This window comes from Homo sapiens, chromosome 15 (assembly GCF_000001405.40).
Source record: "Homo sapiens chromosome 15, GRCh38.p14 Primary Assembly".
NCBI classification, from domain to species: Eukaryota; Metazoa; Chordata; class Mammalia; order Primates; family Hominidae; genus Homo; species Homo sapiens.
This window is the reverse complement of record NC_000015.10, coordinates 76,857,187-76,878,890: the sequence shown is the minus strand read 5'-3', so window position 1 is coordinate 76,878,890 and position 21,704 is coordinate 76,857,187. Positions and strand designations below refer to the sequence as shown.

General features: G+C 36.3%; 1 protein-coding gene across 28 annotated transcripts in view; it reads left to right on the top strand.

The window, feature by feature from the left end:
- SCAPER (S-phase cyclin A associated protein in the ER) overlaps positions 1–21,704 on the top strand; it is a 557,437-nt gene that overhangs the window by 26,450 nt on the left and 509,283 nt on the right. For 19 of the 28 annotated variants that reach the window (XR_007064448.1, XM_017022273.2, XM_011521653.4 and 16 more), the window contains one exon: positions 21,012–21,082. Coding sequence is in view for 19 of the 28 variants with exons in the window: in XM_047432625.1 (XP_047288581.1) it covers positions 21,012–21,082 (71 nt within the window). In the remaining 9 variants the exon portion in view is untranslated. Of the gene's footprint in view, positions 1–6,334; positions 6,423–16,357; positions 16,476–16,946; positions 17,047–21,011; positions 21,083–21,704 lie in introns of those variants that run through there. The other 9 variants (NR_148227.2, NM_020843.4, NM_001353011.2 and 6 more) reach the window with 3 other exon arrangements.

Below are 21,704 nucleotides of genomic sequence, written 5' to 3'. Positions count from 1 at the left end.
TTTAGATATCATTTGTGAAGTGCCTACTCAAGTTTCCTCCCCATTTTTTTATTGACCCAGTAGACTTCTTTTTTGACTCAGTCTCTGTCTTCTTCTTCCTCTTCCTCTTCTTTTTTTCTTTTTTAAATAGAGACAGAATCTCACTATGTTGCCCAGGCTGGTCTCAAACTCCTGAGCTCAAATAATCCTCCTGCCTTGGCCTCCCAAAGTCCTAGGATTACAGGCATGAGCTACCATGCCTGGCTTTGACTCAGTGTCTTTCTCTTTTTGCAATTGATTTAAGGAGTTCTTTATCTTGAATCTAAGACCTTTGGCACCTTTGGCACTTCTCCTACTCTGTAGCTTGCTTTTTCATTTTTTAATACCATCTTTTGAATAGGATCTGTTCTTAATTTTAATGAAGCTTGGTTATTAAATTTTTCCTTTATGATTAGTGCTTTTTGTGTCCTAATTATTTCTTTCTACCTGAAAATCATGAAAATACTCCCCTGTATCATTTTTGGTAATTTTTAATTTCATTATAATTTTAAATTTAAGAAAGGTTGTGAGAAGACTATGAGGAATTCTCATATATCCTTTTGCCAGATTTACCAATTGCCCCATTGGTTTTATTCTTTCCTTTCTCTCTTTGTGTGTATGAAACACACGTGTCTGTAAATATACATACATCCATATATGATATATATCCATATATGAATTCTCATATATACTTTTGCCAGACTTACCAATTGCTAATTTTGCCCCATTAGTTTTATTCTTTCCTTTCTCTCTTTGTGTGTATGAAACACGTGTCTGTAAATATACATACATCCATATACACATATCTACCTGCACACATATATAAATATATGCATATTACTTTTCTTCCTGAACCATTTAAGAGTATTTGAAGCCAACATACTCCTTCATCCTTAAATACTTCAATATGTATTTCCTAAGAATTAAGGACATTCTTTTATATGACCACAATTCAGTGTTCAAAATGTGGAAATTTAACATTCATACAGTATTATTATATAATACACAGTAGATATTCAAAATTTGTCATTATCTGAATGATGTCTTTTATAGTTATTTTCTTCTTGATCCATTTAGTTGCCAGGTCTGTTTGGTCTCCTTTAATCTGGAACAGTTCTTCAGCCTTTCTCTTTCTTGACTTTGCCATTTTTGAAGACTACAGAACAGATATTTTGAAGGATGTCTTCTCAATTTAGGTGATGTTTCATCATGATTAGATTCAGGTTTTGCATTTTAGGCAGAATATCACACGAATGACGATGTGTCCTCAGTACATCACTTTAGGAGGTATATGATGTGAATTCATCCTGCTTGTTAACTTTGATTACTTTGTTAATGTAATGTAGTGTCAAGCTTTTCTACTTTAAAGTTTCTGTTTTCTCTTTTGATATTAGTAAGCAATTTGTGGAGAAGCACTTCGAGGCTGTGTAAATATACAGTACCTTATCAAACTGTCACTTACTAGGTTTAGAATCCATTAATGATTTCCTTATTAGTTAAAGATCTGTGAGGAAAATGCTTACATTCTCTTGTTATCTGGACTCTGATTTTTAATTTTATTTAATGTAATCTAACATAATCATTATTTATTTTGGTACTCAGATTGTCCCATATTAGCCAGTGGGAGACTTTAAGCTGGCTCTTGGATTTTTTTTTTTTTTTTTTAAAGACAGGGTCTCTGTCACCCAGGCAAGAGTGCAGTGGCGTAATTACAGCTCACTGCTGCCTCGACCTCCTGGGCTCAAGCCAGCCTCCTGCCTCAGTCTCCTGAGTAGCTGGGCCAATTTTTTAAATTTTTTGTAGAGATGGGGGTCTCCCTATGTTTCCCAGGCTGGTCTTGAACTCCTGGACTCAAGCAATCCTCCAGCTTTGGCTTCCCAGAGTGTTGGGATTACAGTTGTGAGCCAGTGTACCCAGCCAAATCTATTTGGTATGTCCATATTATTCTTTGAGCATTTCTATACTTTCTAGTGTAACAAGCTGCTGTAGGTTCAGCTCGTAATTTCCCTGTTTTATTCTTTTTCTCACCTTATTACACAGGCTAGGACTTTCAATATAATATTGAATGGAAGTAGTGATAGTAGTAGGCATCCTTGTCTTTTTCAGTTTTATACCATTATATATGATGTTTGCTGTAGTTTGCTAAGAATTTAAAAGTTATAAATAAATATTGAAATTTATTACATGCTTTTCTTTTCATCTGTTGATGTGAACACAAGGCTTTTCTCCTTTATGTTGTTAATAAATATAAATTTATTAACAGATTAATAAATTCTGTGAATTATATTCATTGATTTGAAAATGTTAAATCAGCTTAGTATTCCTGAAATAAACCCAACTTGGTGGTGTTCTCATATCTGAATTCAATTTGCAAGTACGTTTATGTTTATACATACATGTATAAATGTGTGTGTATTTTTTTTTTTTTTTTTTTGCTTTTGTTTTGAGGCAGAGCCCTACTCTGTTGCCCAGGCTGGAGTGCAGTAGCATGATCTTGAGAGGTGACAGCGTGCTGGCAGCCCTCGCAGCCCTCGCTCACTCTTGGTGCCTCCTCGGCCTCGACGTCCACTCTGGCCATGCTCGGGGAGTCCTTCAGCCCGCCACTGAGCTGTGGGGGCCCCTCTCTGGGCTGGTTGAGGCCAGAGCCGGCTCCCTCAGCTTGCCGGGAGGTGTGGAGGGAGAGGCACGGGCGGGAACCAGGGCTGTGCGTGGCGCTTGCGGGCCAGCTAGAGTTCCTGATGGGCGTGGGCTTGGCGGGCTCCTGTACTCGGAGTGGCCCCGGGCAGTGAGGGGCTTAGCACCTGGGCCAGCAGCTGGGAGGGTGCGCTGGGTCCCCCAGCAGTGCCGGCCGACTGGCGCTGCGCTCGATTTCTCGCTGGGCCTTTGCTGCCTCCCAGCGGGGCAGGGCTCGGGACCTGCAGCCCGCCATGCCTGAGCCTGACCCCGCCCCCCACCGTGGGGTCCTGCGCGGCCCGAGCCTCCTCGACCAGCGCCGCCCCCTGCTCTTTCGCTCTTTGCAGTGAATCTTGCTGCTGCTCACTCTTTGGGTCCACACTGCCTTTATGAGCTGTGACATTCACCGCAAAGTTCTGCAGCTTCACTCCTGAGCCAGCGAGACCACGAACCCACCAGAAGGAAGAAACTCCCAACACATCCGAACATCAGAAGGAACAAACTCCGGACACGCTGTCTTTAAGAACTGTAACACTCAGGGCAACGGTCTGCGGCTTCATTCTTGAAGTCAGTGAGACCAAGAACCCACCAATTCTGGACACAGTCTCAGCTCACTGCAACCCTCGCCTCCCAGGTTCAAGTGATTCTCATGCCTCAGCCTCCTGAGTAGCTGGAATTACAGGCGCGTACCACCACGCCCGCTAAGTTTTGTATTTTTAGCAGAGATGGGGTTTTGCCATATTGGCCAGGGTGGTCTTGAACTCCTGACCTCAAGTGATCCGCCTACTTTGGCCTGCCAAAGTTTTTCTGGGATTACAGGCATGAGCCACCACGCCTGGCCTACGTTTGTGTGCTTATACACATACATATATATGATTTTCACATCTTTTCTCTTAAAAGACATTAAATTATAATTTATGTTTCCTGTATGGTCCTGTTAGGTTCTGATATCAGAGTTTTTCAGGCCTCATAAAATGTGTTTTTTCTTCTTTATTCTCTAGAAAATTTAATGTAATTTGTTGCTTAAATGATTAGGATAATTTACCAGTGAAACCCATCTGGTCATAGATTTTCTTTTGTGGGATTCAATTTCTTCAGTAACTATTCAGATTTTCTGTTTTCTTTTATGCCAAGGTTTGGTAAGTTATGTTTTTCAACGGACTTGTCTGTTTCAAAGAGATTTACAAATTCATTGCTACAATGTTACTTAATTATTATTATTATTTTTTTGAGAGGCAGAGTCTCACTCTGTCACACCCAGGCTGGAGTGTAGTGGCATGATGATCATAGCTCACTGAAACCTTGAACTCCTGGGCTCCAGTGATCCTCCTGCCTTAGCCTCCTGAGTAGCTGGGACTAGAGGTGGTACCACCATGCCTGGCTATTTGTTTTTTATTTTTATTTTTAGTAGAGAGAGGTCTTGCTATGTTGTCCAGTCTGGTCTTGAACTCTTGGTCTCAAGCAGTCCTCCTGCCTTGGCCTCCCCAAGTGCTGGGATTACAGGTGTGAGCCACGGTGACTGACCGGATACAATTTTATTTATAATATCCTTTTGTTATCTTTTTGATGTGTGGAGGTTTCTAGGATCTGTAGTGATCTTTCTTTTTAATTCCTAATACTATTTTTGCCTGCTCTTGTTTTTACTTGATCCCTCTTGCCAAGGAATATATACATTTCATTAGTGTTTTTAAATAACTCACTTTTGTTTTTTTTTTAATTTTTCTGTATCACATGTTGGTCTTGTATTATATTGATTTTTTGCTGTTTATTACTTCCTTTCTTGGGATTTAATATGGTGCTCTTTTACTAACTTCTTGAAATAGAGACTTAGATAATTTAGTTTTAGCCTGTTTTCTTTCTTACATATCCTTTAAAGCTATGCAGTTTCTTTTAAGCTGCATCTTGTAAATGTTAACCTGCCATCATTTTATTATCATTTAACTAAAAATACAATTTCCATTGTGATTTTTTCCTTGATCCCCAAGTTATTTAGAAATGTATTGGTTGGCAGGGTGCGGTAGCTCATGCCTGTAATCCCAGCAATTTGGGAGGACGAGGCAGATGGATCACTTGAGGCTAGGAGTTCAAGACCAGCCTGCCCAACGTGGTGAAACGCTGTCTCTACTAAAAATACAGTAAATTAGCCAGGCGTGGTGCTGGGCGCCTGTAATCCCAGCTACTTGGGAGGCTGAAGCAGGAGAATCGCTGGAACCCGGAAGCAGAGGCTGCAGTGAGTCAAGATGGCACTACTGCAGTCCAGCCTGGGCAACAGAACGAGATTCCATCTCAAAAAAAAAAAAAGAAGAAGAAAAGAAATGTATTGCTTAACTTCCAAACACATGGGGATTATTCAGGTTATATCTCTTTTTACTTTCTATACTTTGAAATTTAGTGAGACCTGAGTTATGACTAAGGATATTGACAGTTTGGAAAACATGCACCTGGAAAAAATGTGTTTTTGCCATTGTTGACTGCTGGGTTCTGAATATGTCAAATATATCAACTTGTTAATTATGTTGTTCAAATCTTCTATATTGTTACTTAATTTTTTTGTCTGCTTGTTCTGCCAGCTTCTAAAAGAGTGTGTTGTGTTAAAATCTCCAAAAATAATTGTATTTTTCTCTTATTTCAATTTTACTTGTACATTATTAGATGTGTTAGATATGTGCACATTTGACATTGATATGTTTTCCTGGTTGATAAACTTTTTACTAAAAGTATCACTATATATACTCTAGCAGTATATCTTTCCATTTCTTCCTATAAGCCCATTATTTATGTATTATTATTTTTTAGTGGGCACCCTAGAGATGCCTGCCTGCCTGCCTGCCTGCCTGCCTGCCTGCCTGCCTGCCTGCCTGCCTGCCTTCCTTCCTTCCTTCCTTCCTTCCTTCCTTCCTTCCTTCCTTCCTTCCTTCCTTCCTTTTCCTTTCTTTTTTTCTTTTTCGGGAGATGGAGTCTGGCTCTGTTGGCCAGGCTGGAGTGTAGTGGTGCTATCATAGCTCACTACAGCTTTGAACTCCTGGTTTCAGGTAATCCTCCCACCTCAGCCTCTTGAGTAGCCGGGACTACAGGTGCCATTATGCCTGGCTTAATTTTTTTTTTTTTTTTTTGTAGAGACAAGATTCTACTCTATTGCCCAGGCTGGTCTTGAACTCTAGACCTTAAGTGATACTCCCACCTTAGTCTCCCAGAGTGTTGGGATTACAGGTGTGAACTACTGTGCCCGGCCCAACATTTCTTAATGACTTACTAGAGTCTATTATAAATTGTTACTTTTATCACTTCCTGGAGAATGTAAAGGCCTTATCCACTTTAATTGTTTACTCCCCTTCCACCTTTTGTGAAATTGTGATACACTTTGTTTTTCATATCTTTAAAATTTCATAAGATTATAGTACTTTCATATAGTTTGTATTCATACTCTTTTATTTATATTTTTACTGTTTTTGGTGTTCTTCATTTGCATGCAAACCTAGATTATTATACTGTATTAATATAGTATAGTATAATATAGTATGTATAGTACATAATGTAGTATAATAGTAGAAGGTAGGTTTGCGTGCAAACCTAGATTATTATACTATATTATTATACTAGATTAGAATATTTTTTATACTAGAAAACAGTAATTTTCTTTTAGTACTTTAAAGGTGCTCCACTGTTTACTGACGTTTATCATGTCCGTTTGTTGGAAAATCAGCTGAGTTTTTTTTGTCACCCCTTTGAAGGTAATGAGCTCTTATCCTCTCTGTACACTGTTAAGATTTTCTTTGTTTCAGGTTTTCATCAGTTTTTCTGTGATATACTTATGTTTGGTTTTCTTTGTATTTATCCTGCTTGGGGGTTTGTAGAGCTTCTGGGAGAATTTGGCTGCTATCTTTTGTCAGTTTTAAAGCCATTCCCTTTCAAATTTTTTTTCTGCTCCAGTTTCTCTGTTCTTTCCTTCAAGGTCTCCACTTGTACCATGTAAGACTTTTTCACTGTGTCTTATATGTTTATTTTCTCTTCTGTATTCTTTTTTTCCTCTGTGCTTTCATGTAGGTATTTCCTACTGTCATATTTTCCATTTTCCAGTTCGCTGACCTTTCTTCTGCTGTATCTAGTTTGTGGTTAAAGCGATTTGTTGAGCTCATAACCTCAGTAATATTTTATTTCTCTTCTAGAATATCCATGTGAATTTCATTTTTTGTTTTTCCTCTTTTATTTTTAATATTCAAAATATTTATTTTTAATGAAAAGGTATATCTTATAGCTTTTAAGTAATCAAGAAATCTGTGCAATATTTTGCTCATAAAAATGCAAATTGTGCCAGGCGTGGTGGCTCACACCTGTAATCCTAGCACTTTGGGAGGCTGAGGCGGGTGGATCACTTGAGGTCAGGAGTTTGAGACCAGCCTGGCCAACATGGTGAAACCCTGTCTCTACTAAAAGTACAAAAATTAGCCGAGCATGGTGGCGTGTGCCTGTAGTCCCAGCTAATTGGGAGGCTGAAGCAGGAGAATTGCTTGAACCTGGAGAATTGCTTGAACCCAGGAGGCAGAGGCTTCAGTGAACTGAGGTCACACCACTGCACTCCATCTTGGGTGACAGAGTGAGACTCCATCTAAAAAAAAAAAAAAAAAAAGCAAATTGTAACAGATAACGCCAGCCGCAGCTCCTTGGATTTGGTAATTAGTCACCAGTCCCCATCGCTATCCCATCTTGCCCTTATTCCCCAGGTGACTGTGTTATTTATTTATTTATTTTTTGGTTATCTTCATTTTTTATTAGGTTTTTTTTTTTTTTTTTGAGATGGAGTCTCGTTCTGTCCCCCAAGCTGGAGTGCAGTGGTGCGATCTCAGCTCATTGCAACCTCTGCCTCCTGGGTTCAACCAATTTTCCTGCCTCAGTCCCCCAAGTAGCTGGGACTACAGGCTCCCACCACCATGCCCAGTTAATTTTTTGTATTTTCAGTAGAGGCAGGGTTTCACCATGTTAGCCAGGATGGTCTCAACCTCCTGACCTCATGATCCGCCCGCCTTGAACTCCCAAAGTGCTGGGATTACAGGCATGAGGCACGGCGCCTGTCCCTTTTATTAGTTTTTAAATAGATATTTTCACATATTTCTGCATGGCAGTTACTTACTTTTTCACTTTGAAGGTATTTTCTTGACTTGCATTTATTATTTCTTATAGAATGTCACTTGTCAGTTTTATTCTTATTAATTTGAGGTTACTTGTAACTACTTCTAAGGTTTTTTGTTGTTGTTGTTGTCGGTACTTTTTAACCCTAATATGTCTATCGTTTGTCTTTTTATTTTACCTTTTTATTAAAAAAATTCACAATTTTATTCATAATGCCTATTGATTCGTGGTATGATCTTTTGTTAGTTTTGGAAAGTTCTCAGCCTTTATGTGCTCTAATCCCATTTTTGTTTCTCTTTTCCTCAGATTTCAGTTTTTGCTTCTATGTTTGACCTTTTTAAAAATTTCTTATGTCTCTTTTGCTCTTTTCTATTTTTTTTATGTTTTCATTCTGGATATTTTAGTCTAACTAATTCACTAATTTCTTGTTAAACCCATTCATTGAGTTCTTAATTTCAGTTTTTTGATTCTTCAGTTTTATAATTTCTACTTGATTCTTTTAAGGTATCTAGTTTTCTGCAGAAAATTTCAATCCTTTTATTTTCAGTTCATATTAATTAGAGTTACTTTAAAATCTATTTCTGATAACTTTTATTACTTGGCTAATGTGTGGGTATATTCCCTTTTTTTATATTTTTTCTTGGTTTTTAGTCTTTGGACTTGTTTTCTAGTATGCCCAGTAATTTATTTTATTTTATTGCTGCATAAGAGATGTACATAATTTTGGGGTACATGTGATAATTGATTACATTCATATAATTTGTTAATATACTTGGCTGTGTCTATCAACCTAAATATGTCTTTTTGTACTAGAAACATTCAAATTATTCTTTTCTAGCTATTTTGAAAAGCATAATAAAGTATTATAACTATAGTCACCCCTCTGATCTATCTAACACTAGGTCTTATTTTTTCTATCCAACCATATATTTGTACCCATTAATCAACTTTTTATCCCCACCCACCCCACTCCACTACTTTTCCTGGCCTTGGGTAACTACCAGTCTACTCTATATCTTTATGAGATCCACTTTTTTAGCTCCAACATATGAGGGAGAACATATGATAGTTCTCTTTCTGTGTTTGGCTTATTTCACTTAACATAATGACCTCCAGTTCCATCTATGTTGTTGCAAGTGACAGGATTTTATTCTTTTTCATGGCTGAATGATATTCAACTTTGTATATGTAATACTTTTTCTTTATTCATCTGTTGATGGCACTTAGGTTGATTCCATATATGTGAATAGTGATGTAATAAACATGGGAGTGCAGATAACTTTTTGATATATTAGTTTCCTTTATTTTGGATATATACGCAGTAGTGGAATTGCTGGATCATATGATGATTCTCTTTTTAGTTTTTTTGGGGAACTTTCATACTGTTCTCTATAATGGCATACTAATTTTCATTTCCACCAACAGTGTACTTAGGGTGCCTCTTTTTCCACATCCTTGGTAGCATGTTATTGCCTGTCTTTTTGATAAAAACCATTTTAACTGCGTGAGATGATATTTCACTGTAGTTTTGATTTGCATTTCTGTGGTGATTAGTGATGAGTCTTTTTTCATATATCTGTTGGCCATTTTGTATATCTTTTGAGAAATGTCTATTTAGATCTTTTGCCCATTTTTAATTTGGATTATTTGTGTTTTGCTAGTGAGTTGTTGGAGCTCCTCATATGTTCTGGTTATTAATCTCTTACTAGATGGGTAATTTCCAAATATTTTCTTCCACTCTGTGGATTGTCTCTTTGTTGATTATTTCCTTTGTTATGCAGAAGCCTTTTAGTTACTAATATAGTCTCATTTGTCTATTTTTGTTTTTGTTGCCTGTGCTTTTGAGATCTTACACAAAAATTCTTTACCCAGACAAATATCCTGGAGCATTTCTTTTAAGTTTTATTTTAGTAGTTTCATAGTTTCAGGTCTTACTTTGAAGTTTTTAATCCATTTTGATTTGATTTTTTGGTATGGTGAGAGATAGGAACCTAGTTTTATTCTTTTGCATAAAGTTATCCAGTTTTCCCAGCACCATTTATTGAATAGGGTGTTCTTTCCCTGGTGTATGTTCCTGTCAACTTTGTCAAAGATTAGTTGGCTGTAAATGCATGGGTTTATCTCTGGGTTCTCTATTCTGTTCCATTGGTCTGTGTGTTTGTTTTTATGCCAGTACCATGCTGATTTTGTTACTGTAGTCAGGTACTGTGATGTCTCCAGCTTTATTCTTTTTGCCCAGGTTTGTTTTGGCTGTTTGGGGTATTTTGTGTTCCATATAAGTTTTAGGATTTTTTTTTCTATTTCTGTAAAGAATGTCATTGGTATTTTGAAAAGGGATTGCATTGAATCTGTAAATTGCTTTGGGTAGTGTTGTTTTAATAGTATTCTTCCATTTCATAAGCATGAAATATCTTTCCATTTTTTATATCCTCCTCATTCTCATTCATCAGTGTATTACAATTTTCCTTGTCTGGATCTTTCCCTTTTTTGGTTAAATTGATTCCAAGATATTTTATATTCTTTGTAACTATCGTAAATGGGATTGCTTTCTTGATTTTCTTTTTTGGATTGTTCACTGTTGGTTTTTGTATGTTGATTTTGTATCCTGTAACTTTACTGAATTTGTTAATCAGTTCTAACAGATTTTGGTGTAGTCTTTAGGTTTTTTGGTTTTTTTTTTGAGACAAGGTCTCACTCTGTCACCCAGGCTGGAGTGCAATGATGCGATCATAGCTCACTGCAGCCTTGAGCTCCCAGGCTGAAGCAATTCTCCTGCCTCTGCCTCTCGAAGTGCTAGGATTGCAGGTGTAAGCCACCACACCTGGCTGTCTTTATCTTTTTCTAAGTAAAAGATGTCATCTGCAAACTAGGCTAATTAGACTTCTTCCTTTCCAATGTGGATGCCTTTTATGTTTTCATAACTGGAAGGGGAACCAACAGATTAGTAGTTTATTTCTTGTTCACTTAATAGTTCAGTGTAGGTATTCAGCATGTGACCTTTCACATTTTGATGGGACTAAATTTTTTTTTTTATCTTATGACTCTATCATTCTTTAGAGAGGTCTGCTAGATCCTATGCATCTGGCCAGTAAGTGGGGAATTGAGGGAGAGAACATAGCTGATGATGCAGGAGACTTAAAAAAAAGCAAACCCAGACCTGGACATAGCTTACCTCATTTTCCCCTATATTCTAGCATGCAGAACTTAGTCACATGGCCATCTGTCTGCAAGAAAGACTGGAAGGTGTTGTCTAGCTTTGTGACAGGAAAGAAAGCAAGTGGTTTTGATGCATATTGTAGTCTCTGTCATGGAGGCTGATACAGTATTAGTAATTTAGGTTTGAGATGATGATAGCTTGGACTAGGGTGATGGTAGTGGATTTACATTCTCCAGTTGTGTTTAGGAGATAGACTCGGTAAGACTTGATATATCATTTAGTGTATAGGCTAGTGAGCTATAACAGAGACTCCAGAACAGAGTAGCTCATACAAGAGAGAAGTTGTTTCCCCCTTATAATAGTTTAGCCATCCTTAGTTCATCTATGGTTTTACCTTTAGATGGTGTGAAATATTGGTAAAAACTGATAAAGTTATCGTAAATTACTGAACAGGATTCCAGCTTATCATTCTGTAATATTAGGAAAATTGTACTAGTTACATGGTTTCTCAGGTAAGCTGCATGACTAGTAATCTTGTCTTCATGCTACCCAAAGTATTAAGGGCGTTAGTAGTGGGAATTTAAGAGAAAGGTTCTTTTCTGAATTATTCAGAAAGCTGAAAAACATTGGAAAAAAGATACAAGAATTTCATTTTATGGGCAGATAGTGGTATGAATGGATTTTGAAGAACTTGTATAAAGTAGAAAGTTTTATGGAGACAGATACATAGACATTTAGTAAACAGTACTTGTAACCTTTTCAAGATTATGGGGAAAGTTGTTGAAATTATTTAGATATTTTAAACCTAAGAGAAAGAAGTTTCTTTGGGAGCAAGTCTCAGAAGTACCTAGCCTCTTTGGTAACTATTGTAAACACTTTCTTAGATTATGTACTGTAAGATTTGAACATAAAAACTTTCACTGAAGGCTGATCTTTATACTTTTAGTTGAAACATTAAGTATTTGAACAGGCCTCTGTAAAATCTCCATACAGCACTAGGTGGCACACTGTGACTTTGGATGAAAATACACATATTTTGTTGAAGACTCCTGTGAGAAAAGAACCTAGGTTAAAAAAAAATACTGTTTGAAATAGACATCTATTTTATGAAGTATCTCAGAACCATGTATTGCATTTCAAACCCTGATACTGATATTAAAATGCTTAAAACTATTTTATTTACATTACTACTGACATTTTTATAAGAACTGGACTACTAAAAATCATTAGAATTTATGGGTTTTTACTAAAAGGAATCCATTCAGCATGTATTACAAAAAGCATCTGTGCTTTAAAATGAAAAATGATTTTCAATCAGATCTTGTAGTAAGATGAGTAGTTATAATGTTTTTGCTTATCAAGTATTGGAATTAAGAATAAAATCAAAGTCTTGAGCTAGTGGTTTTTCTTTGAATGTGTGTCTGTGTATATGTACTAAATACAAAAGAGCTAACTTGGTAAAATTTATAGTGGAGCTGAAATGTTTATGGAAGTAAAGAATGTTAGATTTGAAGTTTTCTGGTCTAGTGTTACAACATTGCTATTTTGTGATTATCCATTTTAGTTCTTGGAAACTCATTATTTTGTGAAGACTCTTGACTTAGAATGTAATGTATGGCATAGTGAATTTTCTGACCTGATATACACACACACACGCACACACACACACACACTCAGTGTCTCTCTCTGTCTCACAGGATGTTCTGTGATTGTGTAAGGGAATTATCTGAAGTAGAGCTGAAAAGTAGGCCATCTATTTATACTTGTTCATTTGGCCTGGAAGCAATAGTGATACCCTTGGTTAGAACAATGCTAAATGATAGATGCCAGTGTAAGTTAGATAGAACTGACCAATACTTAATGGGAGATGTGCTTAAGCTAAAGGACGAAGTTTTCTGGTGTTACATTGATTGGAAAGTATGAGAATGAGTAGAGAAGTGACTTTTGCAAATCTACAGGACACTGAATGGGGTTTGGACAGTGATCATAGACAAATGAGTTTCAGTGAAAGACCTTAATGAGTCAGGTAAGTAGATGACACATGGATATTCAGGGTAAGGTCAGAGGAATGAAGGAATATGGGTACGGATGTTTACATTAAAGACGTAAAAAGTGACAAGTTCTGGAGAGGAAAATTTGGGTTAGACTCTCATCACAGAGAATTAGAGTAGAAGAATATAGTCTTTGTTTTTCTGGTAGTTGGATATTAGTTGGCGAGTTGATTCATTTTTGTACCGAAACCTGTTTCCTGTCACTCACAGATTTAGCACCTATTGTCATTCCCTCTTTCTTACCATAACACAATTTGTCTCTGTACTGGATCATCCCCATCAGTATGAAAGTATGATATACTATCACTCATCTTAAAAATCCATTCTGTTTATTTATTTCTTTGTTCTCCTTTATGACGAAACTCAAAGTATCTTAATACTCAGTATCCCCATTTTTCTCATCATTCTGTTTTGAACCGTTTTCAGTCAGGATTTTGACCCTACTATACCACTAAATAGGCAATAAGTTACCAATTTATTAGAGTTTATTATAAATTATTACTTTTATCACTTCCTGGACAATGCAAGGCTGTCAGTCTTATGGCTGTTGCTTTAAAGGTAATGAGTTGATTTTTCCCTCTCCTCTGTACTCAAGATTTTTCTCTTTGTTTCAGTTTATCATCAGTTTTTCTGTGATATGCTTAAGTGTGGTTTTCTTCGTATTTATCCTCTTTGGGGTTTGCAGAGCTTCTGGGAGAATTGGGCTTATATCTTTTTCTCAACTTTATTTTATACTGTCAAAGAGATTAATGGGATAGTTGGTGAAATGTAAATGCTGTAATTTAAATAATAATTCTGTATCAGTGATAATCTCCTGATTTTGTTAGTTATAGTATAGTGATATAGGATAGTATCCTTACATATATAAAATACATAGTGAAGTATTTACTGCCAAGGAGTATAACTGCAGATTGTTCTCAAATGCTTCAGGAAAAAAATGTGTGAGGGTATGTTTGATATTCTTTGTGTGAATTTATAACTTTTTAGTAATTTGAATTTATTTCAAAATGACAAGTAATATGTGTCTGTTTATCTCACAGTTGGCTTCTTACCATACAGCCACATTGTTTGTTTACATACTGACTATGGCTGCTTCACATAAAATGGCAAAATTGAGTAGTTGTTACAGAGGTCTTATGGCCTGCAAAGCCTAAAATAAAAAAAAAAAAATTATTATCTGGCCCTTTGTAGAAAATCTTTGCTGACCCTTGCTCTAGAGTGTACTATAGTGACTTTTTTTTCTTTCCCTGAAGTGATGCTACTCATTAATTTCCTTCATTTGAAAATAATGTATTGCTTTTTCTTCACATATTCCCCAAAAGAGTAAAAATTAACCAGTGGGTGGGGAGAATCCAAACTGGAAGGCAAATAGTAACATACTCCCAGGTGAAGATGAGAACTAATTACATGATTTTGGCAAACAGTACTTTGGATATTGTAAGGTTAAAGATAAGAACCATACGTAAATGCTGTAATGTAGTTAGTAAATGTGTTTCTCATAGGAGTATGGGTTAGCAACTTTGAAACTACTTTATGTGTATATTAGAATTGAACAGATAAGTAAATAAGTTGTAGATAATGAAAACTGGGGATCTTATGTTGGAGAAAGAAGTTTCAGACAAGCAAAGCGAAAGGCTAAAATGAGCCCCGTGGCTTAGGATTGAAATCAATCAGTATAAACTCACGGTTTTTAATATCTGTATAGAAATAGATCCAGGTGTGTATATTGTGTGTTAGGGTGCATTCATCTAGTTCCTATTATCTCATTCTGTGAGTTGACTGGGTGATTTTTGTGATGTGATGTTGGCTTGGGTACTGGCATGGCAGCAGTTTTCTAGGGGCTCAGCTGGGCTGGAATGTCCAAAATGGCTCACTCACACAGTGGGTAGAGGATGCTGTCCTCTGGGAATTCAGCTAGGGCCTGTCAACCAGAGTGCTGCCCATGTGTGGTCTCTCTACTTGTGGCTTGGGCTTCTCATGGCATGACAGCTGGATTTTAAGAGTGACTGCCCTAAGAGGGAGCATTCTAAGAGACTCAGGTGGAGGCTGCAAAGCTTCTGATGACCTAGTCTCAGAAGTTATGCAGTGTCCCTTCTGCCGCATTTTATTGGTCAGAAAGCAAGTTACAGAGGCATATTCACGGGGAGTGGATTACATGAGGGCATGAACACCAGCAGGTGTGGTTTTCTGGGGCCAAGGGAGGCATCTTTGAAGACTACCTACCATACTTGTTAATTCATATATTATTTTTTACTCTTACATGTTTGCTTCATTTACTTGGATTGTTAGCTCTTTGAGGACAAGCACAATACTTTATATATTTATATTTTTCTTTATATTCTCCTCAGTCTCTTACTTGATGCTTTTGCACATAGTAATTGCCTCGTTAAATGTATTGCGCTTTAGGATTCCAGGAATGCTAAAAGTCCAGGCTGGCAAGAACTATAGGAGGGCAGGGAGGCACCTACTAATTGGACTGGGATTTTGGGCTGGCCCAGTGGTGAACTTGTTTCACAAAGAGGCAGGTTTCCCACACAGATTTAAGGATTAGATAAGGAGGCTGCATCCTCGTGTTCACATGGGTGTTTTATGATCTCTTTCTTCTCATAGATACTTGGCTTATAAAAACAGACTATTTTGATATGACATTCATTAGTGGGGAGGCAATTTCCTTTATTTTACTGGACCTGGCTCCCAGCTGGCACAGGGTGTTGGTGGGGCTGAATCTTAGGCCCGTGTTCTTAGGCCAGGCAGGGCTAGAGCAAGCAAGAAATTACGTATGTTCTGTGCAATAGTTTGAGTTTTAAAAATTGCAATTTAAATTTACCTGTTAACAGCAATTATTATTTGAATCCTGATAACTTGGAGATAAAATTATGTAGCTAAAAATGGAATGTTGACTTACTTTAGCGCAATCTCTAGAGAATTAAAAAAAGCGTTTTCCAAAATATTTTATGCTGAAGAGGTCTTTTAGGGGAAATATATAGGATGTTTGTGAAAACTGGTCTCTTTCACACTTGGACTTGTTGATATGTAAGGGATGGTGCAGATATTAGTCCACAGCAGTGTTGGTGCTCTTTAGGCCACTTTTTCAAACCTTAGATTATATTTATTATTTAAATAATTTGTTTATTTTTTAGAGTTACAAAACTCAGTGTTTTTAGATCTAAAAAAGACTTGTGACTTCCTTTTCTCTGTTTAACCACCCACCACATCCCAAATTAGTTTTAAGTGTTTTCTTTCTGAGAAAAATGTGAGAAATAATGACTTTGTTAAATATATATTTTGACTTATCTAATAATCTAATAAGTACCATCTTTTCCATACATAGGCTTCATTCCAGCGCTCCAATAGTCATGACAAAGTAAGGAGAATAGTTGCAGAGGAGGGTCGTACAGCAAGAAACCTAATAGCTTGGAGTGTTCCACTAGAAAGCAAAGATGATGATGGTATGTATTTAAAAAATTAGTTTCATTTTTGTTGTAAATAAGGAGGGTGTATTTAGTCCTAAAGAGATAGACTGAAAACTGTTTGCAATTAGACTTCTAGGGCTGATTAGTATGTTAAATAAGAAATACTTTTTTGTTGCTTTTATACACACATGGTTTTATAAAAGCCTTATTGTTAGTTTTGCTTTTTCAGATAATAGTGAAATTTGAAATTGGGTTTATTGTGTTATTATGACCAGCAGATTAGGGGTTGTTAAAGTGATAAGAGATTTAGTGATATGTTTAGGCTTTGTCTCCCCACCCAAATCTCACCTTGAATTATAATCCCCATAATCCCCACGTGTCAAGGGAGAGACCAAGTGGAGGTAATTGGATCATGGGGGTGGTTTCCCCCATGCTGTTCTCGTGACAGTGAGTGAGTTCTCATGAAATGTGATGGTTTTATAAGGGGCTCTTTCCCCTAAGCTCGGTACTTCTCCTTCCTGCTGCCTTGTAAAGAAGGCGCCTTGCTTGCCCTTCTCCTTCCACCATGATTGCAAGTTTCCTGAGGCCTCCCCAGCCATGCTGAACTGTGAGTCAATTAGAGCCCTTTCCTTTATAAATTACCTGGTTTCAGACAGTTCTTTATAAGCAGTATGAAAATGGACTAATACATTTAGGTTTTTTCTTTTATTAAATTCTTATAAAAATAAAAGGAGGTTTTTTAAAAATCATATTTACCATAATTAGGTGCAATTTAATGTAATACTTTAGAAAATAGAAGATATTTCTTTAGTTCTCATTATTATTATTTGAACAAGAAAAAAAATCATCTCTACCCTCCCTTTAATGGCTAGAGGCAGTGTGAAGCCACTGTTTTGAGGATGTTGAAGATTGGATAGAGATACAGAAGACAGGAGGTTGGCATACCTCACTTTGAAATTTTCTGAGAGCTTGTAGAATATTCCTCACAGTTAGGTTTGTCTGGTATCTTTTCATGACTAGATTCAGGTAGGTGTTTTTAGTAGGAATTCTATAGAAATGATGTGTCCTTTTCAGTTATCAGAGGAGGTTCGTGATAACTGTCTCGTTAATTTAATCAATTGCTTTAAGTGTTGTCTGCCAAATTTCTCTACTGTAAAGTAACTAATTTTTTCCTATGTAACTAATGAGTAATTTGTGGTAAGATAGTTTGAAACTATGTAAATATCCTGTTTTTGTTGAAACAGTACACTCACTACTTTTTAGCTTCTATTGATAATCCTTGGCTTATGTTATACCTCTGGTGGTTGCAAAGTGGTGATTTGTTAACAACTCCATCATTCCTTCTGCATTTGTTAGCCTTCTAATATAAGGAAGAGCTTTACCATCTCCTCTTTATTTTTATGTATGTATGTATTTATGTATGTATTTATATTTTCAGTTTGTGTGGACTCATGGCTTCTTATGGTATTTAATGGGGTACAGTTACTCTATTTTGATGCTTAAATTCTTCTCAATTTTTCAAATGGGAGACCCTTTAACTTGGCTCCTGTTCCTTACATGTTCTAATCATGTTTCCATTCTTTGAGAACATCTTTACACAAGATGTTTCAAGCTAAACAAGAATTCACCTGTTTTATTCTCTTAAATTTATGTTTACATTTTATTTTATTTAAAATTTTCTTTAAAGAATGTTTTAAATCTTTATCTTTTTTACATTTGGTCCTCTGATCCATTTGTAGTTTATTCTTACATATAGTGTGTGGTACGGATCTAATTTTATCTTTTTCCTTATAGCTAACAAGTTGCCTCAGCATAACTTGTTATAAAGTTTATCTTTGCCCCAGTTATTTTTGATTCCACCTTTTCTGTAGAGTGAATTTCCATATGTATTCCATTCTACTAGTCTGTTTACCTAATTCATGTGTGTCATACTATTTTAATTATGGAGGCATTATAGTATTTTTAAATGCCTGCTTGGACCTGTCTTCCCCTGTAGCTTTTCTTTCTCAGTTTTCCTAGCTATTTTTAGAGAACATTGTTTTGAATCACAAAAACTATCAAATAGAGGGGAAAATTGGATTTATCTTTTGAAATTCAGCTTCTTAACAGCTAATCTTTCCACAAGGAGCTATTACTTCATTTCTTTGATAAAAGTACATATCAACATGATTTATTACAAAAGTAAAAAAAATTCTGTATATTATAAATATTTTTATATGAAATTGTATTCTCTCATTTTCCATGGGTTATTCTGAACACAAAATAGTTCAAAGGTGTTTCTATTAAAGTTGTTTCTATTCAAAAAACAAAGGAAAGAAAATATAATAATCAAACATCTGTACATAACCCGATTTTTCATACAAGAACATAAATAATTGGCCAGTACAATTTTAAAGCTTCATTTGTGACTATTGTAACAATAAAACTGTAAGCACAGGCTGGGCGCAGTGGCTCACGTCTGTAATCCTAGCACTTTGGGAGGCTGAGGCAGGTGGATTGCCTGAGCTCAGGAGTTCGAGACCAGCCTGGGCAACATGGTGAAACCTCGTCTCTACTAAAATACAAAACAATTAGCGGGGCATGGCAGTGGGTGCCTGTAATCCTAGCTACCCGGGAGGCTTGAACCTGGGAGGCAGAGGTTGCAGTGAGCCGAGATCGCGCCACTGCACTCCAGCCTGGGGGACAGAGTGAGACTCTGTCTCAAAAAAACAAAACAAAACAAAACAAAACCCAAAAAACTGTAAGCACAGATAATTAGAACTTTCTGAATATCTGTAGTAATGATGACAAAAGAAGAATATTAACATTTACAATTTTTGTTAAGGATTATTTTATATTGTTAAAACTTTGCCACATATAGGCAATTAAAGACTAAGTTTTTAATAGCAGCTTGTTCTTGTTTTATGACTACAATATATACTTAGGTGTTTCTGAGGATAATTCCACTTAAAAAAAGTTCTCTGCTTTGTATTATTTCTGTTTCTAAGCTGGTTTTTCTGCTGGATATTCTAAAAACCTGCTGGTACATTACAGCTTGTGCTTATTCTAAGCTGGTTTTTCTGCTGGATATTCTAAGAAAACTTGCTGGTAGATTGTTTTTTATAATTAAAGGATGTGGCTCTGTAGGTTAGTGTAGCATTCTCTCCCTTTACCCCTGGTGGAACAGTGAGGGTGTCCCACTTATGTCAGATAAGTTGATAGTTAGGTACCTGTGTGTTATGGCTCACTTATATTGCTTCAGGGGACCTGGCCCCAAAATTACTTTGCAGAAAGGAAAATTATTCTGTTATACATTATAGAATTTTATTCCTATTTTGAAATGCTGGAGAGGTTGCAGAGAAAAAGGAACACTTACACACTGCTGGTGAGAATGTAAATTAGTTTGGCCATTGTGGAAAGCACTTTTGGTGATTACTCAAAGAGTTGAAAACAGAACTACCATTTGACCCAGCAGTCTAATTACTGAGTATATACTCAAAGAATATAAATTGTTCTACCATAAAGATACATGTATGTGTATGTTCATCACAGCACTACTTTCAACAGCAAAAACATGGAATCAACCTAAATGGCCATCAATGGTAGACTGGATAAAGAAAATGTGGTACATATATACACCATGGACTACTACGTAGCCATAAAAAGAATGAAATCATGTTATTTGCAGCAATATGGATGGAGCTGGAGATCATTATCCTAAGTGAACTAATGCAAGAACAGAAAACCAAAAACTGCACGTTCTCATTTATAAGTGGGAACTAAACATTGAGTACATATACATGGACACAAAGAAGGGAGCAAAAGACAACAGGGCCTACTTGAGGGTAGAGGGTGGGAGGAGAGTGAGGATTGAAAAACTACCTATCAGTTACTTATGCTAATTACCTGAGTGACAAAATAATCTGTGCACCAAACCCCTGTGAAACGTAATTTGCCTGTATAGCAAACCTGCACATGTACCCCTGTACCTAAAATAAAAGAAAAAAAAAAGAATTTTATTTCTGTTTTGAATTGCTGTTGAGAATAGTAATTACAAAACAGTAGTTGGTGTCTTTCTTATAAAAAAGAATGAGTGAAAAAATATAAAGAACTGAAACCTCACTTTTCGCAGTGAAATTGTGCATTTCATATATCAGATAAAACAAAATATTGGGGTTTTATATAGAAAACATATAGTCTTAATTTTATTGTTGAAATGAAATTTGAACTTAAAGAACTATTTCCAGATTTATATACAAGTTGAGGAGTACCAGTAACTGGACTTTGTTTTTAAAAGTTGTCAGAGTATCTGACTTCTTTAAGATGTTGATTTATTCCTATTCAGAGAAAGGTATTCAATAATAGCAGTCTCTGGGACTTTGGAAATTTGTTGTTGTTGTTGTTTTAATTATATCGGTTTATACTGACCATGAACAGACTGTACTATACTGTGGTCTCTGGAAGGAGATTAAATGTTAGTATGCCTGAATGATTTGCGTAGTTTAGGTTTACATTATCTAATTACCTGTAGTTCAATTTTATACTATCTATCATTCTGTATATCTACATATTTATTTTTTTCTTGCCTTGAAGGAAAACCTAAATGTCAAACTGGTGGAAAATCTAAGAGGACCATTCAAGGCACTCATAAAACTACTAAACAGGTACAGCATCTATAACTTTTTTACTTATTTACTTTTAATTTCAATTTCTGAATGTATTATAAATTATGAAAATCTTATTTTGCAGGATTTGAATATTATTTATCTAAATAAAAATTTAATGTACTTTTTAAAAACAAATGTGTATATGGTAATCAGTGTGACTTACTTGTACTAAATACTTTACAGATATTAATTTGTTTGGTTCTCGTACCCTTCGATGTAAGCATTACAGTTATCCTCACTTACATTGAAGTTTTGTTCCAAAAAGAAACTGAGACAGAGAGAAGGCATGTAACTTGCTAGTAAATGACACAGCCAGGGTTTGAACCCAGGCAGTTAATTTTTTTCTTTTTTTTTTTTAACTTTTTTTTTTTCTTTGAGACAGTCTCATCCTGTTGCCCAGGCTGGAGTGCAGTGGTGTGATCTTGGCTCACTGAACCCTCTTCCTCTTGGGTTCAAGTAGTTCTCATGCCTCAGCCACCCCAGAACCTGGAACTACAGTCATGTGTCACCATGCCCGGCTAATTTTTGTATTTTTAATAGAGACGGGGTTTCACCATGTTGGCCAGGCTGGTCCCAAACTCCTGGCCTCAAGGGATCCACCTGCCTTGGCCTCCCAAAG